Source organism: Homo sapiens, chromosome 14 (assembly GCF_000001405.40).
Source record: "Homo sapiens chromosome 14, GRCh38.p14 Primary Assembly".
NCBI lineage: Eukaryota > Metazoa > Chordata > Mammalia > Primates > Hominidae > Homo > Homo sapiens.
In genome coordinates, this window is record NC_000014.9 from 35650704 (window position 1) to 35667059 (window position 16356).

General features: G+C 33.9%; 1 protein-coding gene across 23 annotated transcripts in view; it reads right to left on the reverse strand.

Moving 5' to 3' along the window:
- The window catches only part of RALGAPA1 (Ral GTPase activating protein catalytic subunit alpha 1), a 270940-nt gene that overhangs the window by 112348 nt on the left and 142236 nt on the right, over nt 1-16356 (reverse strand). For 22 of the 23 annotated variants that reach the window (NM_194301.4, NM_001346246.2, NM_014990.3 and 19 more), the window contains 5 exons: nt 13939-14064; nt 8435-8493; nt 5104-5212; nt 3664-3774; nt 1102-1170 (listed from right to left, as the gene is read on the reverse strand). In NM_194301.4, coding sequence (NP_919277.2) covers nt 1102-1170; nt 3664-3774; nt 5104-5212; nt 8435-8493; nt 13939-14064 — 474 coding nt within the window. Of the gene's footprint in view, nt 1-1101; nt 1171-3663; nt 3775-5103; nt 5213-8434; nt 8494-11262; nt 13845-13938; nt 14065-16356 lie in introns of those variants that run through there. The other variant, XR_007063998.1, reaches the window with a different exon arrangement.

Here is a 16356-nt window from a genome sequence, read left to right on the forward strand (position 1 = left end):
TAAATAAAACATACTTGAGATTTCAAAACAATATGGTTAAGGGGAGACCTGGAGAATAGAACTCAAGATTGAGATATGACAAGGGAAGAGATGAGAATAATTCTCAGAGGAAACTAATAGAATCTAGAGCAGCCTTGTCTAACAGAACTTTGTGCCTTGTCTAACAGAACTTTGTGCAATGATGAAAATGGTCTATATTTGCCCATATGGCTATTGAGCACTTGATATTTGCAAACGAGGAATTACATTTTTCATGTGAACTTTAAACTAAATTTAGTGTCAACTGAAAGCAATACACAGTTAGTAGCTACCATAGTGAGCAGCACCGACCTAGAGTCTCTACAACATTTATGTATAATGTCAGGCATATAATTAAAAAATAGACATAATAACAGGAAAATGAAACTCATAGTCAAAAGAAAAAAACTCAATAGAAACGGAGTTAGTGATGACCCAGATACTGGATTTAGTAGTCAAGGACTCTATTTTAATTATTATAAATATGTTAAAGTATCTATAAGAGAAGATGTATATAATTGATGAAGAAATGCAGAATTTCAGATAAGATATGGAAACTTAAAAACAAAACAAAAAGTAACTCTAGAACTGGTAAATACAATATCTGAAAAAATTAAAGAACCCTCATAATGAATTTACTGAGGTAAATGTCACCTAGTAGAATGTTTTCGCAGACACAGGAGATGTCTTCTTTTAAATGACGTATCTCTATATATTTTATCTTTACTTTCTATCTATACAAAAACAAGTGGCTGCCTTTAGAGGTGATTAACTCCTCAGAATTAACAATCTTCAGGCAAAGGTAAGAACACAATTTGGCAGAATGTAATGAAATAGAGGTGGACAGAATGTCCTCTAAGGTTCCTTACAATCTTGAGACTCAAAGATTTTATCAAATGGCAATGAAATGTGAACCAAAATATAATTTAGTTATACTTAAATAACAGAAAGGCATTTCACATTATAGTAGATTCTGAACAAGGATAAATTTTTACCATGTAAATATACATACCTTTAAAGTTTTGAAATGCAAATATTTTACTAAATAACCACATACTAATCATCAAACAAAATTTAAATTACCCTCTTGTCCATTTCATAAGATGAAGCCTCTGTACTTGGTAAAAGATGGGTGATGGTAGCTATTAGGATCTGTAAGCAAAAAAAAATTTTTTTAAAAGCTCTATATATGTCAAATTAATGGTACATCCTAAAACTTGATTGTTAAATGCTGAAGTGATACAAAACCTACTACTGCAAATTTATTCTAAACACATTAACACTGTTATTTCAAAGTAATGTTTAATAGGTAAGCTTTTCAAGTATAGTTAACTATCAATTATTTATAATCCTCATGTACAGAACCAAAATTATACATATTCTGTCAACCATAAATGGATTTCTTCCCAATTCAAGGGGGTAAATCACTATGTACAAACACACAGAAAATATATGTTCATTATAGAAAAATTAAAAGACACAGATAAGAAAAAGACTAATAAAAACCATCATAGGCTGGGCACGGTGGCTCAAACCCACTTTGGGAGCTTGGGCGACAGAGACCCTGTCTCAAAACAACAAAAAACCACTGTAATCCTATCACCTGAAGAAATCTACTCTATTGCCTTTCCAGGCCTTTTGTTTATATATATATATATATATACACACACACATATAAGGCTTTTTTAAAAATGTGACTTTTTATTTATTTATTTTTTTGAGATGGAGTCTCACTCAGCCACCCAGGCTGGAGTGCAGTGGAGCAATCTCAGCTCTGGGTTCAAGTGATTCTCTTGCCTCAGCCTCCTGAGTAGCTGGGATTACAGGTGTGGGCCACCACGCCCAGCTAATTTTTGTATTTTTAGTAGAGACGGAGTTTCAACATGTTGGCCAGGCTGGTCTCGAACTCCTAACCTCAGGTGATCCGCCCACCTCAGCCTCCCAAAGTGCTGGGATTACAGGCATGAGCCACCGTGCCCAGCCAAATGTGGCTTTTTAAATTAACATATATTATACACTGAATATTATTTGAATAAATATAAAGTACAGAATACAAAGTAAATGAAAAAGACATTATTTAAAAAAAGGCAAAATCTTCATATACAGTGTTATCATTTACCCTGGAAATCATTTAGTCTTATTTAATTTTTTATGTGCATGTTAAAAATGTATAGGTATATATTTATTGTATTTTTATTTTAGCTGTATTGTATGCTATTACATTTTTTAGAAATTATTGCCTCAATGTAGTAAGTAGAAAAATTCCTCTAAATATACTTTATACAGAAAAAGGCTTTACTCACTAGTGCGATACTTACTACATTTAGTGCTGTAATAGAGTCTGGTAAGATGACTGAGTGGGAAAAGCATGAACTTTGGAATCTTACAGACCTGGGTCTGAGTCCTGTTCTCTTGGCTTATGACTCTTATGTAGTTATTAAATCCTCAGTTCTCTCATCTTAAATAAGGAGGGGAGATTGGGGACAGGGAAGGGAATAATCTATCTCAAAAAACTTCTAAGAATTAAATGAGATATCATATGAAAAGGTGACTGGTACATAGTAGGTGTTTAATAAATATTAGTTCCCATCTGTCCTAAAAATGTTATAAAGATAGGAAGATAAGAATGATAAATTCTGGTTAGGGAGAGCAGATAGCGATTTTTATTTTTTGAGGAGATGGTATTTAAGCCAATCACTGAAAGATGAGGGCACTAGAGAAGAGAAGCAAAGCATTTCAGCTAGGAGGAAGAAAGCCAGGGGTATGTTTAAGTGATGACAAGCAGACTCAGTTGCCTGAACAACATGGCATTTCAAAGGAATCTGTACATGATTCTTAAAAAACCAGTTGGGTTCTCCTGTGAAGGCCCTGAATTCACAGCTAAAGAATTTGGGCTTTATTTTATAGCCAAAGGAAAATCAGAGATTTTTTTTTTTTGTGGGGGTATGTGATATGGTAAGAGCCATGTAAATGTGAATGATGACTTTAAGAGCAAGACCACACAAACCAGGAGAAGGCAACAGCAATATCTCAAGAAAGAAATAATGAAGGAATGAAATACGTCAGGTGTTGCAGGAAGCACAGGAGACACCGAATTAGAATGAACAAAAATTCACAAATGACTGGCTAAAGAGGAAAGAAAAAAAATAATGACCTGATTGTGGTAACTGGATGGTATGTTTTCCCTACTTAAGAGGGAATAAAGCAACATACATGTTTATAAAGACGATGACATAAGTTTACACATAGCATTTAATTTTCACTACAACTAATAAATTGTTTTTTGTTTAACTGTTTGTTGAGCCAGGGTCTTGCTATGTTACCTAGGCTGGTCTCTAAGTCCTGGCCTCAATCGATCCTTTCAACTTAGTCTCCCAAAGTGCCTGGATTACAGGCATAAGCCACCAGGCTGGCCTAATAAATTGTTTCTAGTGCTTTTACTTTGTCCAAAACCAGGAATGCAATCTTCTAACATAAAAGACAAGGGAACTATCATGAACTTTGATACCACAAAAAAGCATGATGGGTAGCCATTATTTAGCTATGCAAAAAAATTTTAAAACTATTAAATAATTTTACAATTCAAAGTATCCAAATCTAAAAAAATTTAACAAGGTCATAATAAATAAATGAGAAATTACTTACTTGAATAATTTTCAAGGGAGAATCAGGCTGGTAAATCTGAAGTCTAGGTACATAATGAACCAGCATGTGAAGCATGTTACAAGCTACGTGGGCTACTGTTTTATTAGTAAACTGCAATAATAAAAAAAAAGTTTTAAAAATTTTCATGATGAACTTTTCATCAATGTATTATCTGCTGAAAATTTTTACATTTCATACATTTGTAGGATTATAAATCCTACATTTATAGGTGATTAAGATAAATCTCTAGCTGCAAAATAAAAAAAATCACAACACATTCCAAAGACACATACAACTTTAATTTTCCTTTGTAATGTTTGACTGTCCTCATTAAAGTTTTGTTGCATTTTCTCTTATGTGGATTTATGCAGTGGCCTCTAAACCACTATTCTTTTTATCAATCTTTGCCCTGTTCCAATCAACTATTCACCACACTTCCAAATTAATCTTCTATAGCACTGTTATGATCCTGACATTATGCTTAAAACTCAGAGGACTCCCCAATGGCATAAAGACAAACTTTTCATGCTTCTCTACGTCCACATTTCACCCACACTTCAAACCCCAATGTGTCTCCTCTTTTCCAGTCTTCTCTGATAACTAAGTCAAAATGATTTCTGTTTCTTCCAAACTGAATCAGCAGTTTATATTATACACGCAGTTTATATTATATACCCATTTAGTACTCTCAGGTTTTTATGTTTTATTATTCTCATTTTAATCTTTTTCAGCTATTATTAATATCTTGAAGCTAGTATTTACAATTTTTTCCTATTGTTATCCCTCACTGTCTAGCAATGTGCCTCATAGTAAATATTTAGAAATATCTGTCATGTAACTATTATTTAAAAATATTTATTAGCTACTTTGTATGTTTAGAGTCTTATACAGGTGCTGTGGGTTTTACAAGTCTTAAAACAACAATAATATCATGCATCCTTTCATAAACAAAAAGTACTCATTTATTCATTCAGACTCTCCAAATAATTACATTATTACTACTGAAAAAATCTTGTCTGTCTACAAAGAAGGCACATAACTTGAAAAGATAAAGCAAAAAAACTGAACAGCTCAAGAATTCAGGGAGTGGTAATAAAGATCAAAGAACAGTAAGTTACAAAAATACTAGTTAAAAAAAAACCAGAAAAACCCTATATATGTTTTAAATGGTGGGTTTCCTTTTTTAGATGTCTACCATATATAGTTTAGGGACAAAGCTAAAATACATAAAAAGTTGAGATAAAAATGGGTCACCATAAAGATACCCTAAATTCAAGAAACAGAACAATTTTTAAGGAATGAGTCAGGATCAAGAAAATAATAGAATAATAAAGTAATGAAAACATTTACTAAATGTTACACAAGATACCATTAATATTTGGAGAAAAAAATATGCATTCTCTCCTATCTTAATATATTTCACTAAACAGTTTTCTTTACCTTTAAGGAAACACAAATCACATTCAGAGCTTCCTTAATTTGAGGATGATGAGACTCATGGACTAGTTCTTCACAAATCCAAATACCTAAACTACAAAGTGCTACACATCTGCAAAAAAGGCAAACAACAACGGTTACATAAAATGAAACCACCACCACAAACATGACCCACAATCAACTGACACAGAATGAACATGCACTATTTTAAATGAATTAATGAATTTGTTACTCTATACATTAACTGGTAACCAAAGAAGAGAAAGTATGAAGAAAGCAGAATCCCAAAACTTCTGAGCCTAATTTTCTATTATAATTTACTAAGAAGACTACAGGCTGGGATACCACACAACATGTTTTTTAAAAATCCATGTTAGTCTGTTAGACTGACATTGCTATCAAGCTTCCTAAACAAAATGTAACCTGCTTTCAAAATGGAAAGTGTAATTTTATTGACTGATAACAGCAAAATGAACTTAAGTAAAAACATGAAGCTGATGGAATATGTTAAATATTTTTCTATCTTTTAAATTTAACACACCTAGCTACAAATTGTTTTAAAACAAATTGAGAACATAAAATTTATGTAACTTATTTTAAAATCCAACAGAAACAGAACTTGTAGAATTTTTATCCTGTTCCCCAATGTATTGCAAAGCTTCATTTCTGTAGCAATATAATTTCAGCTGGGTGTCAGCTTGAAGAGAGTTATTTTATGATTAGAATCAGTAAGGATTCTATTAGTGTGTTCAAGTTTAAGCTTCTGATAAAATGTATAATGGTTCTAAGTATCAAAACAGTCACCTTCTTCTAGTATCCTGTTATATATGCCATGTCCCGATACTGATATTCTTAATTTTAGTGGAATGCTAAACTTCAGAAAAATTCAATGCAGATTCTTCTTCCTTAACACAGCAGATCAGAAGGTCTTAAGTCTCTTCTTTCAGTCTAGAGTGTTAAGGCTACCAAACTGTTTACTATGAAAATTACCTGAAAGTCTTCTAGATGAACTCTACTACTTTATTTTTTCCCTATTGTTGTTCACCCATAAATCCTAGGTAATATTTGTAGCACTAAATAACCAAGCTTCGGGTTTAGCTATGGAAACATCTATAATCCTAAAGCAACAATAAACTCTCAAGTGAAGCAAAGCTCTCCGTGGATGCAGCTAACTAAAGGCAGAGACTTAGAACACAAATGCTGAACAATTTTTATTGTAGCAAGAGGAGATAAGAAAGGATATATATATTTTTTTCTTGCATGTAGAGTTTCCTACACCCCCCCTCCACAAGATGTCAAAATAATCTAGATTATTCCCAGCATATAGCTCAACTCTCTGCTCCTGTGCAGACTGGGGGTATTAAGTTTCTTTTTTCTTTTTCTTTTTTCTTTTTTTTTTTTGAGACAGAGTCTCACTCTGTCTTGCCCAGGCTGGAGTGCAGTGGCGCGATCTCGGCTCACTGCAACCTCCACCTCCTCGGTTCAAGCAATTCTCCTGCCTCAGCTTCCTGAGTAGCTGGGACTACAGGGGCACGCTACGACACCTGGCTAATTTTTTGTATTTTTAGTAGAGACGTGGTTTCACCATGTTGGCCAGGCTGGTCTCGAACTCCTGACCTCAGGTGATCCACTCTCCTCGGCCTCCCAAAGTGCTGGGATTCCAGGCACGAGCCACCACGCCTGGCCTGGGAGTATGTTTCTAAAAAAACATATACTAAAAAGGTATAGAAAAACAAGTTGAGACAATGCTTATATTCAACTTCTGGGGTTTTTCCATATTCTCCATAACACAAGCTGTTGTGTTAATGATTTCCAGGTCTACCTCTAGACAGCTACGTTTTAGGCTTCCACATTCTTCCACTTGAGAAGCAACATATATATATATATTTTTTTTTTTTTTTGGTAAAAAAAAGCAAAAGATCTACAGTCTTAAGCACTAAGGTCAAACTTGGTATTGCCACTTATTAATTGTGCATCTAAAAAGCCTCTGAAGACAAACTGCCAGGGTTCTGTCATATCTAGATGACAGGGCAGATTATTGAAATTCCCTGGGTTCTAGTTTTCTTTTCTATTAAAAGGTGGATGAAAATTATACCTGTCTCATAGAGGTATCACAAAATTCAATGAGATAATAAATATAAGGCACTTAGAACAGTGCCTAGCAAGCACATACAAAGGGCTTTAAAAATGTTAGCTAGCTTGCCTACATCCCCCGTCCCACCAGCTATGCATTATCAGAGACTTACTGTTAACTTTCTAAGCATCAGTATCTGGCTAGCAAAACTGGAAGAAGAGGGTGATTCTATTAAACTCTCAAAATCGTGATGAGAATTAAATGAAACAATATTATACGAAAATCCTTGTAAACTTAATTGGGATTAGCGTAAAAGAACAATTTTCTCAAATATATTTGTTTTTAGTTAGCTTGGCTATTGAGAAAAATATACAATTAAATTTTTAAAAACTGGAGCTATGTCTTAATTTAAACAAATGGTTCACTGTACATTATTTTCATTTGCTGGAAAAAGATTTAAATTAGAATAAGAATCCAAATAGTCAAAGCCATGATCTGTAACTTTTGAACTTTGGGTCAAAAAATGTGTAGATGATTGGAAAACAGGAGCTTTGCAGAGATGTAGATCTGAGGAGTAGTAGCACAGACCAATATTGTAGCAAATGACGTACTATTAGAATTAGCATCAAGAATATAAAATATGACTTAATGTTATTTTGGGGAAGAGAAGAAACATGGTGTGCTACTAGCAACCTGCTAATTAAAATCTCAATCTTTTTTTGGAAAGGTTTTGTAAAACAGAGAAAATGTCAGCTTTTATTTCTTAAGACATTTAGAAAAAAATCTAAAACTATGACATATTCTATTTTTAAAAATCTTGATCAAATATTTATAAATATTAAAATATACTATTTTCTTAGATATATTACTTTCTATAATAAAATATTTTATTTTAATTCAATTTAACAAAAATTCATTGGGTACCTGCTACTGCATTTCAAGGTACTGCATAAAAGACATTGACAAATATAACTGAACAATAAACAAAATGTACTTAAATAAAATAAAATTAAAACAAATCATTTTAGAGATAAAGAGTGAAGTTACTGAAAAAGGTGACTAGGATTCTGTTTATGAAGAAAGGTTAGTATTTAAATCATGAAAAAAAGTAAGAATACTTAATTATTCAAGTAACTTAAAATTGTAATTCAGAATGGCTTTTATGTATCTAAAACAATCTGGGCTGCTATAAAAATTCAGTCAACTTCTAAACTTCCAAACACAAAATAGTTATACTCAGTCTAAGAATATCCGACCTACCGTGCAGGACCAGAGGGCTCATCTCTTGCCGAGCTTAATACAGTTTTGATTATAAGTTCCTAAAATAAGGGGGAAATAGTTAACGGCAATGACTGAGATTTCACTCATTCATTCTACAAATATTTATTAAGTGGTTATTAAAGCAGTCTTTGTTCTCATGTATGTACTTTCAATAAAGAGACCAATATTATTTATAAAAGTAGCTAAATAAATAAAAGTTTCTGAAATTTATAGCCAAAAGCATACGTTCAAAAAATAACATTTCTTCCTGATTAGAAGAGTGATAAAGGCAGGTAATTAAAGTAGAATTAATAGCTCATAGGTATGAAGATTTTTAAGATTTTGAGAAATATCATTAAAAGTCAGAACCAGATGGCTTCACCAGTGAATTCTACAAAATATTTCAAATAAAGAATTTAAGAAGAATCTTTCTCAAACATTTCCAAAATATTGAAGATGAGTGAATACTTCAAAACTCATTTTAAGAGGCCAGCACTACCCTGACATCAAAGTCAGACAAAGGCATTACCAGAAAAAAAAAATTAATTACAGGCCAATATCCTTGATGAATATAGATGCAAAAATCCTCAATAAAATACTAACAAACCAAATTCATCAGCACATTAAAAAGGTCACATGCCATAATTAAGTAGGATTTATCACTGTGATGCAAGGATGGTTCAACATATAGAAAGCAATAAAACTAATACATCATATTAACAGAACAAAGGATAAAAATCTTAATAGGTGAAGAAAAAGCACTTAAGTAGAATACATAGCTCAAAGGTATGAATATCCTTTCATAATAAAATATAAAATTTTTTTGCATGAAAAATACGACATCCTTTCATGATAAAAACTCAACAAATGAGGTTGTAACTCAACAAATGAAGTTGTATCGAAACATAACAAGCCCATAGATAACATCATAATCAACAGCGAAAAGCTGAAAGGTTTTACTTTAAGATTAGGAACAAGATAAAGATGCTCACTCTCGCCACTTCTATTCAACATAGTATTGGAAGTCCTAGCCAGAGCAATTAGGCAGAAAAAAGAAAAGGCATCCATTCTTCCTTTTACAACTGTCTCTGTCTACTGATGACATAATCTAATATATAAAAAACCCTACAGACTCCACCAAAAAACTGTTAGAACTAATAAAGTCAGTAGAGTAGCAGGAAACAAAACATACAAAAATCAGTTGTGTTTCTATACACTAACAGTGAACTATCTGAAAAAGAAACTAAGAAAATAATCCGATTTAACAATAGCATCGAAAACATCAAAATACTTAGGAATACGTATAACAAAAGAGGTAAAAGACCTGTACGCGGAAAACTATAAAACACTGAGGAAAGAAACAGAAAAAGACAGAAATAAATAGAAACATATCTGTGTCCACAGATTACAGAATTATTAAAATGTCCATATAATCCAAAGCAATCCTACTTCTGGGTATATATATCCAAAGGAAATGAAATTAGCATGTCAAAGAGATAAGTGTACTCCTATGTTCATTGCAGAATTATTTACAATAGCCAAGACATGGAAAAAACCTAAGTGTCCCTTGAAGGACTAATGGATAAAGAAAATGTGACACACCCACACACGTACATGAATACACATAAAATAGAATACCACTCAGCCTTTAAAAAGAAGGAAATCTTGTCATTTGTGACAATATGAATCAACCTGGAGGGCATGATGCTATGTGAAATATGTGAGGCACAGAAAGACAAATACTGCATGTTCTCACCTACATGTGGAATATAAAAAGTTGAAGTCTTGGAAGCAGAGAGTAGAACGGTAGTTAGCAGGGGCTAGGGAGTGGGTGAAACAGGAAAATAAGTAAAGGGTACAAAGTTTCAAATACGCAGGATGACTAAATTCTGGAGACTTAATGTACAGCATGGTGACTACAATTAACAGTGATTACAGGTACTGGTACTGTACACTTGAAACCTGCTAAGACAGTAGATCTTGGTTTCTTTTACTCCCTCTCACCAAAAAAAGATAGCCATGTGAGGTGATGGATATGTTATTTGGATTGATCTTTACCACACTGTATACGTGTTATCAAGACATCATATTGTACACCTTAAATATGTGAAATTTTTGTCAATTTTACCTCAATAAAGCTAAGGGAGAATATTCATCCTTAATAATTTGTAAAATATGACAATGAATTTTGAAACAAGTTAAAATATTAGTTAAAATTATGTAAATGAATAAAATATTCAAAGGGGAGAAAACGAAGAACAAATACAAGGGTAAAATATTGAAGTGGATGTATGTTTAGCAAACAGAGAAAACAAAATTAGTCTATTAAGGAGTCAGAATACTTAGGCAAGAAGTAAATCAAGATAGATTTGTGCAATAAAAGATAAAGAGACATTCAGAAAAGGACAGAAACATCAACAGGGTCAAATATTATAATGGCTCAGGAGAACAAGAATGCCATTAGATTTGATGATTAAGAATTTTGTTCATTGGTTTAAAAAATCATTCATACATTCATTCAATAAGCATTTGTCAGTCATACAACGTAAGTTCCTTAAGTCATATACAATGTAAGTTCCTTAAGAGGATCAACCTTCAACTTTGTAAACTCAGCACCTAGTCCAATTGATAGGAATTTGAGCTTTCTATGTAATATAGTCTGTCTTAAGGGCTGGAGACAAGAAGTTAGCTAAGACACTGTACTTATCCTTAAGAAGTTTACAGTCCAGGGAGAGAGAGAGATTTGTAAACAAACAATTAAAATACAGGATCATGTAATATAAAATATGCAGGCAAATCCATAAAGACAGAACATAAATCTGAGTTACCAAGAGTTTGGGGTAGGGAGATGTATACGAGCGTTTCTTTGGTGATGACGAAAATGTTCTAATATTGACTGTGATGATGGTTGCACAATTCTGTGACTATACTAAACATTATTAAATGAGTGAACTGTAAAAACAAAAAAATCAAACAAGGTGATATGTACAAAGTTCTGTGTGAGCAAACAGCTCATCTGAGAAGTCATAAAAGACTTCACAAAGGGGTCTTAGATAAACAGGATTTTGAAAGACAAAGTCAGGAATTATATTCTATGTGTTTGGGGTGATAAAGAGAGGCAAGAAGAGGAGAGCAGAATTATACATACATGACACTTTAGTAGGAGAAAATAGTTTTTCCAAAGCATAGAACCAAGAAACACCATGGTAAGTTCCATGTGGCTGTAGTTTATAGAGTATATGGAATCTGATTTTGGTGAAAATGTAAAAATCGAATGATAACCATGGTGTGTAACTTCCCCTTTAAATCTTCATTTTCTGACTAAGAACAGTGATTACTTTTTGCTTTCTTCATTATTATTAGAATTGGCCCTAATTTTGGAGATTTGTTTTTCATACAAAAAAATTTATCTTACTTTGGAGATTTGTTGTTGTTTTTAATCACTTCTGCCATTACTGCCTACACAAGGGCCAACAGAGAACAAGGCCACTCTGAAATGCAGATGCGGATAGTATATAGTAGGCGAGGCTAACCCCTAACTCACTCAAAACTGCATTAATAAATTAAAACTACAACTCATCCTTGGCCTTCAAAATCTCCTGAATAAAAGAAACCATAGCTGCTGATGTGCTGATGTACCTTCAGAACAGTAAAAAACAAAACAAAACAAAAAAAGCCATAGCTATTACATCTTTGAAGGGCAAGGGTCAATTTATATAGTTTTTTGTGTGTCACTGGAAATTTGCATTGATTTTATATGTAAGTCAAGTTCACTTGTTTAACAAATGATTTCCTTTTTTGGGGGGGGGGTGGGACAAGGTCTTGCTCTGTCACGCAGGCTGGAGTGCGGTGGCACAACCATGGCATAAGTGCTCTTCCCACCTCAGCCTCCCAGTAGCTGGGACCACAGGTGTGTGCAACCATGCCCAGCTAATTTTTTATTTTTTGTAGAGACAAGGTCTCCCTATGTTTCCCAGGCTGGTCTTGAACTCCTGGACTCAAGCAATCCTCCCACCTTGGCTAGGATTAAAGGCATGAGCCACCATACCTGGCCTAAAAATTGATTTCTGAGTATATACCAGGTATCAAACAGTATGTTAGGGTACGATGATATAGCAAAAAGACCTTGTGGTATATATATATCTAAAGTAGAAGTCAGACATTGAACACGTAATTACAAGTATAATAAACGTAACAAAGAGATATATGGATGCTATAGAAAGTGTATGCAACATTCCTAACATAAACTGGACTTTTTAAAACTTGAGAAAAAGCAAGTTTTAAAAAAAACAAAAACAAAAAAAAAAACACATCTGCTTAGCCCCTGAGGAGCTATGTCTCCTCTCTCTCAACACTTCTAATTCTAGGGACCAATTCAGGTCACATACAAAGACCATCTGGCAATTACTGTGACAAGCACAACTTCTCAGGACTGTTAAACCCTTGGGAATTTTTTTTTTTTTTTTTTTTGAGACGGAGTCTCGCTCTGTTACCCAGGCTGGAGTGCAGTGGCGCAATCTCGGCTCACTGCAAGCTCCACCTCCTGGGTTCACGCCATTCTCCTGCCTCAGCCTCCCGAGTAGCTGGGACTACACGCGCCCGCCACCATGCCCGGCTAATTTTTTTTGTATTTTTAGTAGAGATAGGGTTTCACCGTGTTAGCCAGGATGGTCTCAATCTCCTGACCTCGTGATCTGCCCGCCTCGGCCTCCCAAAGTGCTGGGATTACAGGTGTGAGCCACTGCGCCCAGCTGGGAATTTATCATACATAGGCATTCAGTTAAGTAAGGACAGGTCTCAGTAAGACACAGGTCTTAACTTATTGATGGAATTATTTATCAACAGGCACCTTGCTGGGCTCAGAGCACTGACTGCTTTTCTACCAGAAAACATTTTGAAGACTTATAAACAACAAGGGTGATCTGGTATGTCTTCTCCTAACTGGACACAATTGTCTTTTTTTTAAGGATTAATATCTGTGGTAAGTTCCACTGGCAACTGTATAGTCACATTTATTTTGCACCATCTACTGTTCAAGCCCCTAAATGCCTCTGGTACATGGGATCTCCATCCCAACTCCATAGTTTCCTAGAGCAGTACAGAGTTTTCCATTACTATGTTTGACTCATCACACTGAGAAACTGGGAGAAGGAGAGAGTCTAATATGCAGGTTTACTTTACCATCTTAATCTCAGAAGCTTTACATTAGTAGCATAGTATCTGGCTCATGGGGTATTTCAATAAATGTTCAGTAAGTGAATGAATCCTAACAGGTAGACATGTGAGTAGGTTCAATAACAAGAAAAAGGTTCTAAAGCAGTTTTAAACACAAAAAAGGATATGCTCCAAATGAACATTCAAGCCTTTGTGTCTGGAGGATATGGCTAATGTTCTTTAACAATTGTGTGGATTTCAAAAAGAAAAGAAAGAATACAAATTTTATTGCATATACTTTATGATTATAAAATCATTTAAGTGCTAAAAATTAGCATCTCATTTCTTACCTTAACATCTGTAAACTGAGACACAGCAACATCAGGAATGTTGGGATGAAGAGAAGGCAGTTCACAATATAAGTTGGGAAAGCAAACCAAAGATCCCAGAAGAACTTGTGCTTCTACTCTTGGTGCCTATGTATCACATTTTTAAAAAGTTTAAAAATATATTGGTGTTATGAAATTATCAGAAAAGTTGCTTTGTTATCCAACTACATTAGACAGGGAAGTGATACATAAAACAAAATTTAAAAAGGAAAGGGAAAACACAAAAAGATTTAAGTTTCCATTTATACTTTCCACATAAACTACTGTTATTGTTAATAAATGCAATAAACAAGTAGCAGAGCTTTCCTCAAATCAGCCACAGTTAATAAGACTGTAAAAACAAATATACCTTATCTACAAGCATCAATTCACCCTAATAAGTAAAAATATAAATAATTTTAAAGGTAACTCACACATTGTGACATATTGTTCTAATAAGCTGATGACTTAATTTCACTAGATTATATTTATTACCAAGGATGAATAAAGAAGAAAAAGCATTAACTATATGAAAGAGGAACCAATCTAGATGGCTTTTATGATATTATGCACATAAGAAAAGCATTGCCTATACCACTTACTAGAAGCAACATTAGAATTTGTCTGGACTGCCAATGAAGGTAACTTTTCATCTTTTTTCCTTAGCTGTATTTAGCCATTTCTGAAGTATCAACACTGAACATTTCTTTTTTCTCTTCTGCCTTCTTACATGCCCACCAAACATCAACATCTTCCTACTAATATATTGTTTTATTTACTAAAACATCTGCAAATTGATTTATATGTTTAATAATACCTAACAAAAATGCTAAGCACAAATCTATTAGAAATATAATACTTCTATTCACATAAATTAAGAACCAACCTCCAAGAGGATTTCCACATCTGAATAAATACTGTAATAGAGGCAATGGTGTAATACTCTATTATATGATTTTCAACAAAACAACTCATTTCCAGATTTAAAAACAATGTGGATTTAAAGATACAAGGCAGCAGTATAAAAGGGCAGGGTGAACTCATATCTACCGTTCCAATTTAAAATAAAAATTATTGTATAAAAATGAAACTGATCTTAAAAATCAGTATTTAATGAAAGAGATTAGCTGAGAGTTTTTCTGTATAGGTAGATGAGGTAACTGGGAATATTCAGGTATGTGCACATAATGGGAGCAGACCTGGAATGTGATCATAATTAAGAAAGGCAAAACCAAATCAATTATTCTATTATCTGCTTAAGGAGGTGGGGGGCAGACGGCATTAACAGAAGGGAGATGATATGAATGAAATCTAAAATAAGAATACAACGAGCAAGAATTGGACTAGGTGTTTCCTCCTTTTTTTTTTTTTCTTGAGAAGGAGTTTCACTCTGTCGTGCAGGCTGGAGTACAGTGGCACAATCTCAGCTCACTGCAACCTCCACCTCCCAGGGTCAAATGATCCTCCCATCTCTCCCATCTCAGACTCCTGAGTAGCTGGGATTACAGGTGCGTGCCACCACTACCAGAAAAAATTTTAAAGACTTATAAACAACAAGGGTCATCTAGCATGTCTGCTCCTAACTGGACACAATTATCTTTTTTTTTTAAGGATTAATATCTGTGGTAGGTTCCACTGGCAACTGTATAGTCACATTTATTCTGCACCATCTACTGTTCAAGCCCCTTAATGTCTCAGGTACATGGGATCTCTATCCCAACTTCATAGTTAATTTTTGTATTTGTAGTAGAGATGGAGTTTCACCATGTTGGCCAGGCTGGTCTCAAACTCCTGACCTCAAGTGATCTGCCTGTGTCAGTCTCCCAAAGTGTTGGGATTACAGGTGTGAGCCACCATGCCCAGCCTGGACTGGGTATTTCCAACACCATCAGAGGAAATGACTTGTTTTAACCTTATTGTGGAGATATGTTAGGCTTGATTCTTGCAATGATTTGGTTTCCTATGCAGCCTTTCTCAACAGGTATCCCTCATATGAACCAGAAAATGCAAAAAATGACTATATTCTACATTTTCTCAAGGATGTTACATAATGCATAGTATTAGATACACAAAGGAGAAATTAGTCATTTCAAATGGATTAGTTACATAAAATAGATGCCTTATGACATTAGGGCTTAATTCTCTTACAGAATCTTGAAAAAAGCTGCAGGAAATGTGCTGACTAGTCATCTGGAATACCCCATTGAACAGTAATAGTTTTCACAGTAAATTAATAAAAAATGACATTGGTTTATATATTGGAATCTTCTGAATTCTATCAACTTTTGCTAGTATCCAAGAGATTTATAGTCTAAGTACTCTGATTGTACTATAACCCTGTGACTTGTTTACCATCTCTAGTTTGTCTTCCATTAATTTACTCCCAGATTAATACTTATT